General features: G+C 37.1%; 1 long non-coding RNA gene across 1 annotated transcript in view, besides 1 other annotated feature; it reads left to right on the forward strand.

The window, feature by feature from the left end:
• Positions 6406 to 6907: an enhancer, noted in NCBI's record as "NANOG hESC enhancer chr5:20601861-20602362 (GRCh37/hg19 assembly coordinates)". NCBI's record gives its function as "activates a minimal SCP1, AML or CMV promoter by ChIP-STARR-seq in naive H9 embryonic stem cells {active_cell/tissue: H9 hESC(naive)}" and the evidence as "EXISTENCE:reporter gene assay evidence [ECO:0000049][PMID:30033119]".
• LINC02241 (long intergenic non-protein coding RNA 2241) overlaps positions 16494 to 17186 on the forward strand; it is a 325854-nt gene continuing 325161 nt past the window's right edge. Inside the window, exon 1 of the long non-coding RNA NR_149120.1 lies at positions 16494 to 16639. This is a non-coding gene — a long non-coding RNA (long intergenic non-protein coding RNA 2241). The remainder of the gene's footprint in view (positions 16640 to 17186) is intronic.

Consider the following 17186-nt stretch of genomic DNA (forward strand, 5'->3'; position numbering starts at 1 on the left):
TTTTGGGGTTCACTAAGGATAGTGGCAGAAATATTATAGAGTAAATATTAGGGACAATAGAGGCTTCCCCAGTTAAGTCTGTTTACCCTACCTCCATTAACTAACCTTTAAGTCAGATAGCCCTCTCGGGGAGAGGTCGACCAGGGATATTGTCCCCTAATGATATTTACCTTAGACCTCCGTACCTGAGCTTTATTCATTCCTAGAACTACTCTCTTAACCATGTTAATTATCCACAAATGTGTTGACTCAAAGCTTCTGTTGTTAATTGTATACCAAATAAATGCCTGGAGTGTGAGCTGCTCAGGACCAGCCACAGTGACAAACCTCTCTTGGTGTGCAGGCAGTCGGACACTCAGCTGGACTGGCAAAGCAGAATATCTGTGTGTCAGTGTACGTTTTATTCATCCATCATTTAGGTCGGGGTCTATGGGCAGCCCCCCGCAGCTAATGCTCTCAAGTGTGAGGAGCAATATCTCATTTTCTTACGTAGCATTTAACCCTTGTAGTTAGTACTTTTTGAAAACAAATGTTTCTAATGTAACCATGCTTTCTGTATACTGTTGGTACTATCACTGACACAAATGCTTTCCAAACATAAGACATACTATCTGTAGTGTATAAATACCTAAAAACTGTAACAAGGTAATGCACTGTCTAGTTTTTGTGAATATTCTGTCAATGAAAATTTATGTGAATTCGCTTTCCAAGCCACTCTTCATTTGGGGATATTTTTGAAGCTCTGTTGTTTGCTGTCCTCTTGCTGGAACAAATTTTGTTTCTATTGATGAATTTGTCTGCTTTTCATTATGGAATGTCTTCCTTGTCCTATACTGCATTTTATATAAATTGAAACATTCCAGCTGTCCTTTGACTAGCATTTGCACAGTGTATCTAATTTTATCTTTTAACTTGTGTCTTTAATATTTAAAATGTGTTGCCTGTAGAAAATCTACGGGTGGATCTTTCATTTTTTATCCAATCTGACAATGTCTCCCTTTAAGTGTAATATTATGGTTGAGTTTAAACCTGCCGTCTCACATTTTCTACTATTTGTGGTGTCTGTAATTTGGTCCTTTTACTCTTCTCCTGTCTTCTTTTGGTTAATTGAATATATTTTTTAGAGTTACGTTTTTCTGGATTATTGGCTTATTAGTTATGTCTTTTGTTCTATATTTCTAAAGGTACACATGTTGATAGAGTGGTATTGGTTCAAAGATAGACCTACAAGAGAATGGAGAGTCCATTCTGAAAAGGAAGAATAGTCCTTATCATAAAAATATTACTAGGCCAGCCAGGCGTGGTGGCTCATACCTGTAATCCTAGCACTTTGGGAAGCCGAGGCAGGCAGATCATGAGGTCAGGAGATTGAGACGATCCTGGCTAACACAGTGAAACCCCGTCTTTACTAAAAATACCACATGCCTGTAGTCCCAGCTACTCAGGAGGCTGAGGCAGGAGAATCGCTTGAACCCGGGAGGTGGAGGTTGCAGTGAGCCACGATCATGCCATTGCACTCCAGCTTAGGCGACAGAGCGAGACTCCATCTCAAAAATATATATATATTACTAGGCCATAAAAATCATTCAACTTGATGCCTATATTACACAGCGCAGACTATATCATAATAAATCATAAATATAAACATAAAGATAAAATAATAATGCTTCTATATCAAAACACATGTGAATATCTTCATGATTTGGGGATAGTCAAAGAATTACATAATCCTGCAACAAAAACACTATTTTTGAAGTGATAAATTAGACTTCCTTAAATTTAAGAACTTCTGTTCATCAAGTGATAATATTAAGAAAATGAAAATGAAAGCCAAGGCTGGTAACAATATTTCAAAATAAGTACAAAACAGATACTAATACATTCCACCAGAATGGCAGCAATTAATAAAAATATGACAATACCAAATGTTCATTGAAATATTGAATAAACAGAATTTCTCACAAACTCTTGAAAGTGTGACTTGGCACTGGCATTTTGGAAACTATTTTGGCAATATCTTCTAAAGTTAAGTACGCTTATGTCCTATGAAACAGGCAAAATAGATGAGTAAGTTTATGTCTATCAAAAGACATATTAAGAAAATATTGATAGCTACATTATGTTTAAGAGCCCAAACTGGCAACAAATCAGATTATTCATCAAGAGGTCAGTATGTTCTGATAAGTTCACGCAGTGGAATACAAGGTAGCAATGAAAATGACAAGCCAGAACTATTCACCACAACGTGAATAATTCAAATAGACATAATGTTGAAGAGATAACCAATAAACAAAAGATTACAGGTACAACTAATATATGCTATTAGCAATTAGAATAGTGGTTATATTTGGAGTGGTAGATATCTGAGAAGGTCATGAGGAAGCTGAGGTCCTTGAATTGATTTTTATCTCCTCCTGAGGGATGAATATACATGTGTACCCACAGGTAAAATTCCATCGAGGTGTAGACTCAAGGTTTGTGCCCTTTACTTTTTGTAACATGTCTTAATTAAAAATGTAACAAATTAAAAAAAAACATACCGTTTTGTAGAAGTTTCCTTAGAAGTGAAGTTAGTAAATAAATTGAAGAATGATTGTCCTCTGGTTTGTTCAAAGCTTTGCCACGTGTTATCTACCAAAATACTACCAAAATATCAGAGCTTCCAATACAAAACAGTTGGGCCAGTGTTTGGCTATTGCAGTCTTGATTTTTTCATTAAGTGCAGGAATCTAACTCCTTCATTATATATTATATTGCACTATATGCATTGCATTATTTTATATGTTTATTGTAAGTCTACTGTGAAGTGGAATGTATTTACATATTAAAATATGTGCCTTTATAATAATACATTCCTTTTATTTCTCTTTCATAATTTGAGCATCCTGTTGACTTTCTGAAATTGAGCATAGACATATATTTTGTAGTAAGATAGATAAGGGGCTGTTATGGTTTGGATCTGTGTCTTCACCAAATCACATGTCAAATTGTAATTCCCAAAGTTGGAGGTGGGCCTAATGGGAGGTAATTGAATTGTGGGAGCAAATTTCTCATGAGGGGTTTAGCATGATCCACTTGGTGCTGTCATTGTGATAGTGAGTGAGTTCTTATGATATCTGGTTGTTTAGAAGAGTGTAGCCACTCCCTGCTCCTCTCTCTCTTGCTCCTGCTCCTCTCTCTCTTGCTCCTGCTCCAGCCAGGTGAGATGCCTTGCTCCCCATTTGCCTTTTGGCATAATTGGAAGCTTCCTGAGGCCTCCCCAGAAGCAGAAGCTGCTATGCTTTGTGTACAGACTGCAGAATCATAAGCCAATTCAACCTCTTTTCTTTTTAAGTTACCCAGTCTCAGGTATTTATTTACGGCAATGCAAGAACAGACTAATCCAGGCCTTTCTAAATTTTTCTACAGAAACAAACAAAAAAAGGGGTGTTAGGTGGAATGAGGTTGAAAATCCAATGAATAGTCCCTGGACATAGCAGCGATCACAATAATAGTTACAGTGAACAAAGAATGATGGTCCAATGGGAACACAAATAAATAAATAAGCTATCAATCAATCAAAGATAATCACAGATCGTGATGAATGCTTTGGAATAAATTAACAAGATCAGCTAGTCAGAAGCTGAGAGAGGCCACTTTAGACATGGTCAGCGAAGGTTTCTCTTAACATGTAACATTTGGGATAAGATATAGTTTGAGTTTGAGTATGCCATTCAAAGGCCTGAGAGAAGAGCAAAGTCAATAGCCCGTAAGCAGAAAGAGTTTGGTATTTTCCGTTGTCGGCAAGACAGCATCACCACGACCAGCCATTCAGGGTCAGCAGTGGCTCATGTTTCTATGGCGTTTCTATGTTCAACCACTGCTTCAGCAGCTTCTCCTAGAGCTGAACAAACTTCCCTCTCAGGATTACTCTTGTGTCTGTCACCAGGGCTTCCCAATCACTTGCTCTTCCAATCATCTGCCCACATCCTGAGAGCTGCTTCCACTTTACCCACAGCTGACCCCATCAGTCCTCTAGGAAGTGCTCTTTGCTTCCATAAGGAATGTCTTCCATGTATTGGGTACCCTTATTGGCCCCTTCTGCCATTTCCTTAAAGATCGTACAAGGAATTAATTCCCATCTGATTGTGAGCTGTCATGTTATGAAAATCACTGTTTTGAAAAAAAGCATAATGTGTAGCAGAACTAGAAATGAACTTCACATCATCACTATGGCATGTGTTCAGGGACAGGCTTCACTGAGGAAATAAACCCAAGTTCAAGAGCAGCAAATCAAGAGAAATCATGGTTTCCTCATCCTCCCTTTATCCTACTGAGAGGCTGATGGAGGCCAGAGAGCTCTGTTCTGAAGGGTGACTCTCCCCCTTTTCACCCTTTTTTTTTTTAAATCACTGAAGGAACATTTTAATGCAGGAACAAATAAACTGCTTCTAGGCAAGATGATCTAGGTTTAAGTCCAATTATTTACATAAATTGCTTATGAATTCCTTCTATCTAGAGCCCTGGGGCCAATGGGAGGTCACAAGCCTTTCTGCCAGGGGAAAACACCCACGGATCCCTGGGAATCTGAGTTTGGGTGCAGCCCTTCCTGCAGAGGAGAAAAGCCTCGTCCCCCCTCCCCACGCTCACCCCCTCTATATTCTCATCTTGTTTGTCTTTTAACATCACAGAAAGAACTCTGCAGATCAACTGTGAATAATCTTGTTGCATCACTAAGAGGATTACAAATATAGAGAAAGTCCCATTGAAGTTTACTAAAACTGGTTAACAAATCTTATCTTATATACAATTTTTTTCCCAGAACAACACATATATTATAATGCTATGTACGCAATTTCTGAAACACAGAAATCTTTAATAAACAAATTACATTTTAAAAACACTGGACATGTAGAAATTGTACTGACTTCAATATAATGCTTATCTCTGAGAGAGAACTAGTAAAGTGGTATGAACAGAACTTTACTCTCTCTATGGTTCATTGCTAAAAATAAAGAAATAAAGTTTAACTAAAATATTTTTTAACATTTGTTTAACTATGGTGGAGGGTGTCTTTTATATCATTCTATAAACACATATTTTAGTATGTTGGGATATTTCTATTTAATAAGAAAATCCAAATAATGTAAGTCCAAGAGGTCTTGAATGACATCCAAAACTTCAAATATATGTTAATCACATATGAGCCAGTTTTATTAATTTTCAGTGACTTCCTCAGATGAATTAAATATATCAGAAAATGCTTGCAAAATATGCAATCCACAATTTTAAGCCATTTAATCTTTGGTGAGCATTTATTCCCAAGCAACCGTAATGTCCATTTCAGTGTTTCTCTGCTTCACCTCAGTATGTGATGAAATTCTTGCCACACAATTAAAAAAATGCAAGGATTCCAGGGGAAAGTCCTTAGGAATATAGGGGAATGTTTGGGTGAGGGAGGAATTAAATAGGAATATAGACTTATTCTCTAATTGAAATGTAATTTGCCAAAGATAAGAAAGAAATTTGTTCTGACAAAAAAGCATGTGTGGTATTTGAAAGATTAATTTTTAGTTGAATATATGACTTTGAAACACGTATTCCCATATATTGCTTTTGTCAGGTAAAAATTTATGCCCATGGATGTAATTCACAGATTCGCTTTCATTAAAAAAAAAAAAAAAAAAAAATTAAAAGTCAATTTTTTAGCAATGTCAAAGTCTTGGCGTTGAAAAGTCTTAAATATTATGCAATATATATCATTACATCAAACTTCATTAGATTGAACTGCATTATAATGCTACCCATAGCATTGTATAGTTAATTTGTTTATATATAGTAAATTTGTTTATTCGATAATTAAAATAGCACACATTTTTGAGTGCCTACTGTTTCCTAAGCACCAATATAGGGACTGGTGATAACGCAATGACAAAACAAATAAACAAACAAAAACCCTGTCCTCGTGGAACTTACCATCCATTGGGAAGAAATACAATTGAATAGGATTAAGATGGTGAACTGGAGGCTGAACTAGCTTGCACCTCCCACTCAGATGGACAGACCAGCGTGTGGAGACTCACAGTGTGAACTTTTGCTCCAAGAATTACCACAGGAACATCCCAGGAAAGCTGAGAGAATCCAGACCCTTTCAAGGAGCTAGAGCACCGCTGAGGGTCCCCGAGATGCCAAAAAACGTGAGTTGGCTTGCGTTCTCAATGGGGAGGCTCAGGGTCAGGGGCAAATTCTCAGCCCCACTCACCAGCTGCCTGGTAATAGACTCAGTGCTGTTGTAGGGGCATGGTGGAAGTGAGACTGGCCTTTTAAACTGTAGAGTCCATGGGAGTAGGGTGAGCCCTGTGACTGCCGGCTTTCCCCTGCTTCCCTGATTACACGTATGACTCAGCAGAGACAGCCATAATCCTCCAGGGAATTCCACTCCACTGGACTGAGAACCACACTGCTATTCCCCACAGCAGCCAAAGCAAGCCACAGCAAGCCACGCCCAAGGAGAGGCTAAGCTCCAACAAGCTTATCCCTGCCTCCACCTGGTGGTCTTTCTCTAACTGACCTGGTAGCTGAAAACAAAGGTTATAAGCTCTTGGGAGCTCTATGGCCCTGCCCACTCCCTGAGAAACCTGGATACTTAACAAGATGTCCCTAGGGCAAGTTTGCATCCTTCCTATAGAACCACAGCTGATGTGCTCTGGAAAACGCCACCTCCTGGCTGAAGGCCAACTAACACAAAACCAGTACACTATGCAAAAACACAACCAAGGACTCTTACAGAGTTTATTTCATTCTCTTACTACCTCCACCAGAGCAGGTACTGGTATACATAGCTGCAACAGCTGAAGATGGATCACATCAGAGGACTCTTTGCAGACACTCCCCAATACCAGCCCAGAGACCCGTAGCTTTTCTGGGTGGCTAGACCCAGGTGAGCAAAAACAATCACTACACTTCAGCTCTCAGGAAGCCCTATTCCCAGAGGAAGAAGGAGGAAACCACATCAAGGGAGCATCCCTGGGACAAAAGAATCTGAACAGCAGTGCTTGAATCCCAGATCTTCCCTCTGACATAATGTATCCAAATGAGAAGGAACCAGAAAAACAATTCTGGTAATATTACAAAACAAGCATCTTTAATACCCCCCATAGAACATACCAGCTCACCAGCAATGGATTCAAACCAAGAAGAAATCTCTGAATTGCCAGAAAAAGAATTCAGAAGGTCAATTATTAAGCTAATCTAGGAGACACAGGAGAAAAGTGAAGTCCAACTTAAAAAAATCAAAAACATGATACAAAATATGAAAGGAAAATTCTTCAGTGAAATAGATAGCATAAATAAAAAACAATCACAACTTCCGAAAATGAAGGACACACTTAGGGAAATGCAAAATGCACTGGAAAGTCTCAGAAATAGAATAAAACAAGCAGAAGAAAGAATTTCTGACTATGAAGAGAAGGCTTTCAAATTAACCCAGTCCATCAAAGACAAAGAAAAAAGAATTTTAAAACTGAATGAATCCTCCAAGATGTTTGGGAATATGTTCAATGTCTAAACCTAAGAATAATTGGTATTTCCAAGGAAGAAGATAAATCTAAAAGTTTGGAAAATATATTTGAGAGATTAATCAAGGAAAACTTTTTCAGCCTTACTAGAGATCTACACATAAAAATACAAGAAGCTGAAAGAACACCTGGGAAATTCATGGCAAAAATATCATCATCTGGACACAAATTCATCAGGTCATCTAAAGTCAAGACAAAGGAAAGAATCTTAAGAACTGTGAGACAAAAGCATCAGGTAACCTATAAAGGAAGCCCTATCAGATTAACAACATTCTTCTCAACAGAAACCCTTCAAGCTACAAGACATTGGGGTCCTCTTTTTAGCCTCCTTAAACAAAACAATTATCAGCCAAGAATTTTGTATCCAACAAAACTAAGCTTCATAAATGAAGGAAAGATACAGCCTTTCCCAGACAAACAAATGCTGAGAGAATTCATCACTACCAAGCCAGCACTGCAAGAACTGCTAAAAGGAGCTCTAAATCTTGAAACAAATTTTCAAAATACACCAAAATTAGAACCCCCTTAAAGCACAAGTCTCACAGGACCTATAAAACAATAACACAACGAAAAAAAAAACGTATTCAGGTAACAAATAGCACAATAAATAGACTAGTATCTCACATCTCAATACTAACACTGAATGTAACTGTCCTGAATGCTCCACTTAAAAGATGCAGAATGGCAAAATGGATAAGAATTCACCTACCAAGTTTCTGCTGTGTTTAGGCATCTGCACTCCAGCCTGGGCCACAGAGCGAGACTCCATCTCAAAAATAAAATAAAATAAAAGAGATAACAGGCAAAACTGGATATGGTTTATAGAATAAACTAAAAGTAAAGAGATTCGTTAAAATTCTGAAGTTCTTTCATTACTAAACCACCAAAATGTTGGCAGCCAGACTTATACAGGTAGAAGTCATGAAGTTCACTTTCTGGGGAAGCTAAACAACCTATGTAGAAGAAAGGACTTCCAATGATGCCCTGGCCCTTATCCCTAGAACCTGTAAATAAGGAACTCTGCAGATGACGTTAAGGTTATGAACCTTAAAATGGGAGATTATTTTGGATCATATCAATGGACCCAATCAAATCATATGAGTCCTTAAAAGCAGAGAATGTTCTCTGGCAGGACCAAAAGAGGTAACACATAAAATAAAATCAGAATATTTATAAAAATTTAATTTAAATTGAACCATGTTATTGGAAGTGATCCAATGAAAGCCAGGAAACAGAAGTATGATCTTACAGTGAGGCAGGCTATGCAACAAGTTTGATCGACATACAGTGCTTTAAATCAATTATTTTATGTTGCTCTCTTGATTGTTAATGGGAAGCCAAAAAAATGAACCATTTGAATGAATATTCTAAATAAAAGTCAGATAATAAAACTAGCAAATCTAAAATGAACAACTCACAGGTACCAGAGAAGTTTTAAACAGAACAGGGAAAGAACTACAAAAAAAGTCTCTACAATTTTATGACATGGAATTTCATCTCACAAATAAACTGAAGAAAATAAAAATATTCATATAAAAATAAAAGTTCTTGGAAATTGAAAAGATTTTACTACATATTAACAAATGAATAAATTATATTTTAAAATAAACAAAACAGTAACTAGGAGAAACTAAGAAAAATACCCCCCAAGATCAAAAATGGAGAGGGAGAAATTATCATAGAAATCCATATAAGCATGTTTCAGAAATGAAGAAATGATTTTTTAGATTGAAAAGCCTCACCGCAAGCATTACACAATCAGTGACAATGCACTCACACAGCCTCCTGAAATGTTACAGGTGTTTTAAAGAGGAGACGTTCCACAAATCTTCCATGTTTGAAAGATGAAGACAGGATCCTAGCCGTAACCAAAATTCTAAGATGGCTCCCATGGTCTCCAATTCCTGGTGCCACATTCATGATTAAATTACATTATGTGGGAAAGAGATGAGTGTCACTCCTTTGATTAGGTTATGTTATAACAGCAATGTTAAAGGATTTTCCAGATGTAACTCATACCCTAAATCAATCCATTTTCAGTTAATCAAAAGGGAGATTATCAGAAGTTGCCTGTCTTTATCAGTTGGAATCACCCGCAAGTTTGGAGGGCCTTCCCTGAATTCACACCCTTTACTGCTGGCCTAGAACAGCAAGCTGCCATGAGTCCTACAGCCACGAGGAAATGGAGTCTTCCAACAGCCTGCGTGTGTTTGCAGCTGCATTCTGCTTCACATCTCCCAGTGAGAATGCAGCCAAATTGGCTCCTTGATTACATCCCTGGGAGATCCTAAGTAAAGAACCAGATGGACTATGCTTGGGCTTCTGACCCTGGGAAACTGAAGTAGTAAATTTACTTTTTTTTTTTTTTTTTTGAGAAGGAGTCTCGCTCTGTCACCCAGGCTGCAGTGCAGTGACGTGATCTCGGCTAAGTGCAAGCTCTGCCTCCAGGGTTCGCGCCATTCTCCTGCCTCAGCCTCCTGAGTAGCTGGGACTACAGGCGCCCGCCACCATGCCCAGCTAATTTTTGTATTTTTAGTAGACACGGGGTTTCACCGTGTTAGCCAGGATGGTCTCGATCTCCTGATCTCGTGATCCACCCACCTCAGCCCCCCAAAGTGCTGGGATTATAGGTATGAGCCACTGCGCCCAGCCATAAATGTACTTTGTTTTAAGTCAAGTTAAAAATTTGACTTAAAAACTAATACAATCATGAATCAGAATAGCACTGGGTATGTCAACATAAACGTGCAGCTACAAGAAAATGAAAAAAAATCATATTGATGTTAATATTTATGTAAGCATTTCAGTATTTTATAGGGAGCTACTGGAGCTGTATTGAGGGATGGAAACTGTAGTGTATTTTTAAACAGAGCAACTTTTTTGGCTAAACTACCTAGAGGTGTTTGACTTAGACCATAGATAATTTTTTACCCTGTCATCTAAATATTTAATAGAATGAGGCTACAGAAATGAAGTTGATAAATCACTTGCAGCTGTGATGATAGGACCACCTGATCTGTGGGAGACAGACAGCATGAAGATGATTTGGATAATAATACTGGACTCACTGTGAGAGAGAAATGTTTAAGAATAAATGTTGCAACCCAAAATCAGATCTGAGAGGTTATTGATGCTAACTGAACCCACCTAAGAAAGGTCATGCATGTCTATGAAAATGAGTACCGTGGAAAATTTTAATGCGTATTCTCTACTGCCTCTCCTCTCTTTTCATGAATCTTGGAGGATTATCCCTTCCTGCTCCCACTGCCAACAGTTAAGGATTGCTTAATTCTCGCAAATGGATTGTGAGAACAAGTGACTTATGTCATATCTGAGCTGAAGCATTTAATGAACACTGTGAGATCCTCCTGCTCAAACTTCCTGTTGTGTTATAACTGAGGAAGCCATGTGCTCCAAAATGTGTAGCTGCAGAATAATGGAACTTCATCAACCTGGAAAACTGTCATCACATACATTACTTGGGATCTGGAATGTTGCTGTGAGCTTCAGGAATTTTAACAAGAAAGGAATAAGCTTTTGCTGTGTTAAAGCATTGGAATCTTGGGATTCTTTTTACTGCAATAATTCTAACTTATGTTTACAATATAATGAGAAATGCTGGGAGGTTATAGAGAGTTTAGAGCGTTCTTCACGAGATGGGAGTAGGATGGCTTTAAAAGTGGAATTGGTATGGACCTGATACAGTAAAGTAAGTGGGGCAAGGCTGTGAGCTAAGGACAGCAGAAGGATGGTGAATTCAGGTCCAGAATAACATCTGCAGTGCTCAACAAGTACTTCATTCCATTATGCTAGGTTGTCATTTATTCATTACATACAAATAATAAAAGAATGGACTGAATAGAGACTGTGGTGGGCTGAATAATGGTCTCCCCAAATCGCCCATAATCCTAATCTCCTAGAATTTGTGAATGTTAGGTTACTTTAGGGGAATAAGATTACAGATCATATTAGGTTGCTAATCAGCTGACTTCAAAATAGGTTTATCCTGGATTATCTCAGTGGGACCAGTGCCATCACAGGATCCTTAAAAGTGAAAGAGGGAGGCAGGAGAGAAGGTAGGAGTAATGTGATGTGGGCAGGACTCCTCCTGACACTCACTGTTGGCTTTCAAAGATGGAGGAAGGAGAGCATGAGCCAAGGATTGCAGGTGGGTTCAAAAAGATGGAAAAGACAGGGAAATGGATGCTCTTTGGGAGCTGCTAGAGGAAATGGCAGCCAGGCCAACATGTTGACTTTAGGCCAGTAATATCCATGTTGGACTCTTAACCAAGACAACTGTAAAATAATATGTATATTTTTTAAACCATTACATTTGTGATGTTTGTTGCAGCAACAATGGGAAAAAATGCAAGCAGTTATACAGGCTGAGAGAAAGAACAGTGGAAGCACCACCACATGTCACTAGACAGATACCTCTAGGACTTAGGGGTACCCCCACCTCCACGCTAACTGACAGCCAGCAAGAAAACAGACACCTCAGTCTTAGAACCACAAATAAATTCAAGTGGACACAAACTTGAATAGGCTTGGAAGCACATTCCTCCTCAGGGCCTCCAGAAAGGTATGAAGCACAGCCAATAGTTTGGTTTAGTCTTGAACCTGAAGGAGAGGGCCAGCTGAGCACACTGGGACTTCTGACCTACCAAACTGTGAAATAATATATTATTATTTTTTTGTCACTGTTTGTAGTAAATTGTTATGGCAACAATAAGAAAAATCAAGACAACATGCACAGATGGAATTATTTTATACTTCACTATTCCTCTCCTACCCTCTATAGTCAAAAGTGTATGTCATTTAAACTAATATTCAGTATTTACATGATTATGCCAATGGAAATACTTCATGAAAGGCCAAATATATAAAAAATATTTCTTATACATATTTTTCTTGAGCTAATAATTGTCTTGTTTATTCTTTGTACACTTTACCATGCAAATATCACTTTCTTTCTTATGCTATCATTACTCTATAGTATTGAGTATTTTATTCCCCATTGTCCCTTCACTTTGTGTCTTCTACTGTCTTGTCCCAAGCTAAACTGTTTTGTAGGACATTTGTACACGTATATTTTGGGGACTTGTGCTGGATAGGGGTCACTATATTTGGATAGTATGTCCTCCTTCTTAGTTAAGTTTTCCTTTTGCTGGAGGATATCTTCTTAAGAAAGTTCTTGGAAATAATTTATTTCAGTCATTTTTTCACCAAATTATCTATAGCTTTTCACCTTTGATTATTTTGCTGCAAACAGAATTCTATCTTAAACAGCATTTTCTGTGAAAGTTGTGACAATTCTGTTCAATTTTCTGTCATTCAGCAATGTTGTTGAAAAGTTGAATTTCAATTTTATGCTCATGCCTCTTGTTTAAATTGCTTCTCCCTCCTCCCCGCCCCACACACTATTAGGATTCTCTTTAGTAGACTGAAACATGAAAATGAGTCTGGATGTAGATATTTTAAAAAATCAAGTGTCATACCCTTTCTGTTTTATGGATGGAATTGATTTTCATGTTTCTGAAAACATGGTGATATTGTTATTTTGGTTTGTGTAGATTTCTCCTGCTGTTTTCATTATCTCTAATTCCTTTTGCTTGTGTTTATAGTTTTTATTTAATGTTTTTTTCTTTTTCATGCTGAGTACTTTCTGTTTCCTTGTGTAACCTGCTCCTAGTAGTCTATTTATATTTTAAATTCTTTATGAAAGATCTTTCTCCCATTTTCTCTACAACCAACAACTTCCCTCTTACTTTTCTCTAGCTGCAGGGAGCTACTTGTTTCTTTTCAAACATAGTAAGCATGCTAATCCTTGCATCCTTTGAACTGCCTATTTATTCTGTCTGGAATTCTCTTTCCTGAGATACCCACAGGGCTAATTCCCTCACCTCATTAAAATGAGACCTCCTTTGACCATTCTAATAATAACTTCTTCCTGTCCCCAGAACTCTTGAACCTTCTTAAGCAGTTCCACTTTTTCTCTTTGTTCATAGCACTTGCTACTAGGTAATTTTTGCATCTGTATGTCTAATGTTTACTGTTGGTCATCCCATAACTAGGATATAAATACCTTAAGAGATGTGATCTTTCTCCATTACTCACTTATCCCAATCACTAAGAGCAGTCACTGGACCATGATATATGCACAATAGGTATTCATTTAACTAATGAATTACTAAATGCATGAGTTAGATGTGAACCACTAACAATACTTAATGGAATATCCATATATATAGGTGAGGCTTGTACCTTGATGACTTTATGCAGTGCTGACTGTGCAAGGGGAGACTCAAATGTCAATAGATGGAAACTTCTCCCCATGGTCTTTTAGGTTTTTCAGACAAGGCTCCTCAGACTTCCCATTAGGCCTGAGAAAAGAGAAGTAATCTCATGACAAAAGCTGGGGATGCAATGTGGCTATGTGTAAATGTCCAGTTGGTTGCTTAATATCAATCAGCCTCTTCCTGGTAACTGTTCAGCTTGCCAGTCCTTATTTTAGAGGTCTTTGTCCAGAAGGGGATCCCTGGTGTTCAGGATACAGATCCTCCATTGACATTCTCAACATTTCACTCCTGCACGTGACCCTACCTGGCTCTTGAGCATCAACCTCTCGAGATGCAGGTGACAATCACCGCCTTTATTTTCTGGTTTGATCTGGGCACACACATTAGTTAACACTCACCTATTTGCCTTTTCACCTTTAGACCGCTCTCTTGTTTTTGTCTGCATGAATCTTTACTTTTACTCATATTTACTTTCATTGGTAAAGTATTAGTGGGAAGAAAAAATATACCTGTGAATTAAATTCACTTGTCTAATTTGAATCTGGCTATTACTATATTTTCAGTAATTATCTTTTTTATCTCTAAGTCATCTAGTGTATCTGAAAGCTATTTATTATCTTTTTTCTGATTTATGACATTTTAACTGTATGAAATTCCATAGTATCTTTTATTTACAAAGGATTACTTCCAACATCATCAAAACTCACATTAAATGACATATTTGATTATCCATGTTTTTAAACTTAGTATAATGCTTTGAAGAAATACTAATAAAAATATTAAAAACAGATTTTCATTAAAAGTCACCTGAAATTAAATGTGCCTGGTTTAAAAAATTAGCAAACACAGAAAACTTTTAGATCCAATTATATCTTTTAAATAAAATTAAAAAGTAACTGAGAAGTGACAGACTTATTTTTTCTGTTGTACTAATAGATATTCTTGATTTTCACTAGATAAAAACTGAAATTGGGATATAGATTGTTTTCAAAGAAGGTATAGAATCAAACAAAACTACGACTATGAATATAGTCTAATGATGATGTTTAAAATATAAATAAATTTGCTTGAGGAAGTTAGGAAAAGTTGTTATTTAGAGGTACTAGATGGACTAATTATTATTTTTTAAATGATCTCCCCAAAGGACACAAAGTTTCAAAATGACTTTGACAAGTTTTTGTAATGACATGAAATAAGTAAGATGTTATTCCTTTTCAGTATGCTATTAATTCCTCTGAAGCTGTTGGTTCGAAGGCTTACAGAAAGAATGGTGTAGCAGCATCAGACGATAATTATATCACTCTTAATTTTCAATAATTTGATATACCAAAATGAGAGGCCTCCATTATTGAGTGTTCTTTAGGTTTTCTTTTAAAAAGAAAAATATCACAAAGCTTGGTTTGTTTATGATGATAATCCTTCACTTTTAACAACAATGGTTTTAATTTTAGGAACAGTAATTTTGGTAGAATCTAACAAAACAGAAAATCACAAGAATTAAATATGTTAGAGGTAGAACCTATTTATTTTAACTGCATGAATGTATCCACTTCAGTTTCCGGCTGTGACTGTATCGACGCCAACAGCACTCTGCTTCAGTTCCTCTTGACTTGCTGCAATGATTTATGTGTATGTTAACACTAATTCATGTCCCAAAGTGACAACTTGAAAGACTGCAAATGTTGCCCAGGTGGTTGATTATCAGAGAAGTTATTGAAATACAAGAAGTTAAGTATTCAGTGGGTGGTACCAGTAGGTCAAACACAATTCATCACACCCGATACAAATGCCCTTGGCTAGATCTGGTTGTATTTGTAACATTATCAAATGAATTACATATTGCAGTAAAAACAGATTGAAGGAGCTATTTCTCTGCTTTTGACCTTGACTCTCTGCTGACTTAAATATCATTTGGTGGGATTACTGTACTCTCTTCTTTATTTCAGATAAAAAATGTTGCCTCGTGAAATTTTCAATACATTTCTCAAAATTTTTCATAATCATCAAAAAATTATCAACCTTGAGGCGAATATGTGAGGGAGGTTTGGGAACAAAATGATGAGGTGAAAATTTGATGTAAATAGTTGTTCATTTTACTTTTACAGTTTTAACGGTGAAAAACTATTTTGGGTCATGGCTGTATGTTCATTAATTCATAAGAGGGGGTTATGCACACATCTTCATGAGAAAACATGGTATCAGTATCAGGAGATGTCCAGGCTGAATATTTAAATAATAAATCAAAAAAATTATTTCATAACTAGCCATTTTCAGAAATTATTCAACTCCTCTGTTTATAAGCCATAAAGAACCATTCTAGCAGTGATAGTCTTAATTCCATTCAAGTGTAAATGCTAATCAGTTTCCAGTTTGGTGGTTGTGGACTATGACAAGCAATTATGTTCTTGGGACCAGGGAGAGACCATTTTCTGCTTGTGGGGCTGAAACATGCAATTGGGGCAGCATGGCAAACAGAATTTTAAGATAAACCTCAGCATCCTGTCCCTGGCATATACACTACCTTTGAGTGTAAACGGGGACTGCGATTATGATGTGATAGTCATTCTCATCATTGTTACCTAAGACATTAGCCCCGGCAACCACAGAGAGATATTTTCCAGCTGGTTTTGAGGAAGTGAGCTGCCATGTACTAGGCCACGTGGCAAGGGCCTGGTTGGGGACCTCCAGGGGTTGAGAGCATCCTCTGGACAACATGGAAAAAGAAAATGAAAATGGTGACCTCAGCCCTATAGCTAGAAGGAATTGAATCCTGTCAACAACGATGTAAGTCTTAACGAAAACCCCAAGCTCTAGAAGAAAAGATAGCCCAGTTGACAGCTGAACTTTAACCTTGTGGGACCGTGAATGAAGGAGGAGCTAAAATGTGCTAGACGTCTGATGGATAGAAAGTGTGAGATAATAAATGTATGCTTTTTATAGCTGCAAGGTGTGATAATCTGTTACTCAACAGTATAAAACTAGTACATCTTACCTAGTAACTGGAAAACATAGGTTTATATGGAAAAAAAATTTTTCACAATGTTTTTATCTATTCAGTGACAGTTTAAGACTAGATATCTTCTCAGGTAAGTTGATAAATAAATGCATAATTCTATTAGAAAAAAAGGAAAGATTGTATTTGAAAGTCTCCCATCATAAATGTGTGTTAGCATAATATATAGCACAGCAAAATTATTTTTACGCATTTTAATACAATTTGTAAAGGCTCATTGACCAAAATATTTTAACTGGATGCTGCAATTAAAATAATTTGCAGATTTTGCTTGATTTACAGCTACACTAATGCAAGGTCATTAATTCTTGTAATTAT

This window comes from Homo sapiens, chromosome 5 (assembly GCF_000001405.40).
Source record: "Homo sapiens chromosome 5, GRCh38.p14 Primary Assembly".
In the NCBI taxonomy this organism is placed as follows: domain Eukaryota; kingdom Metazoa; phylum Chordata; class Mammalia; order Primates; family Hominidae; genus Homo; species Homo sapiens.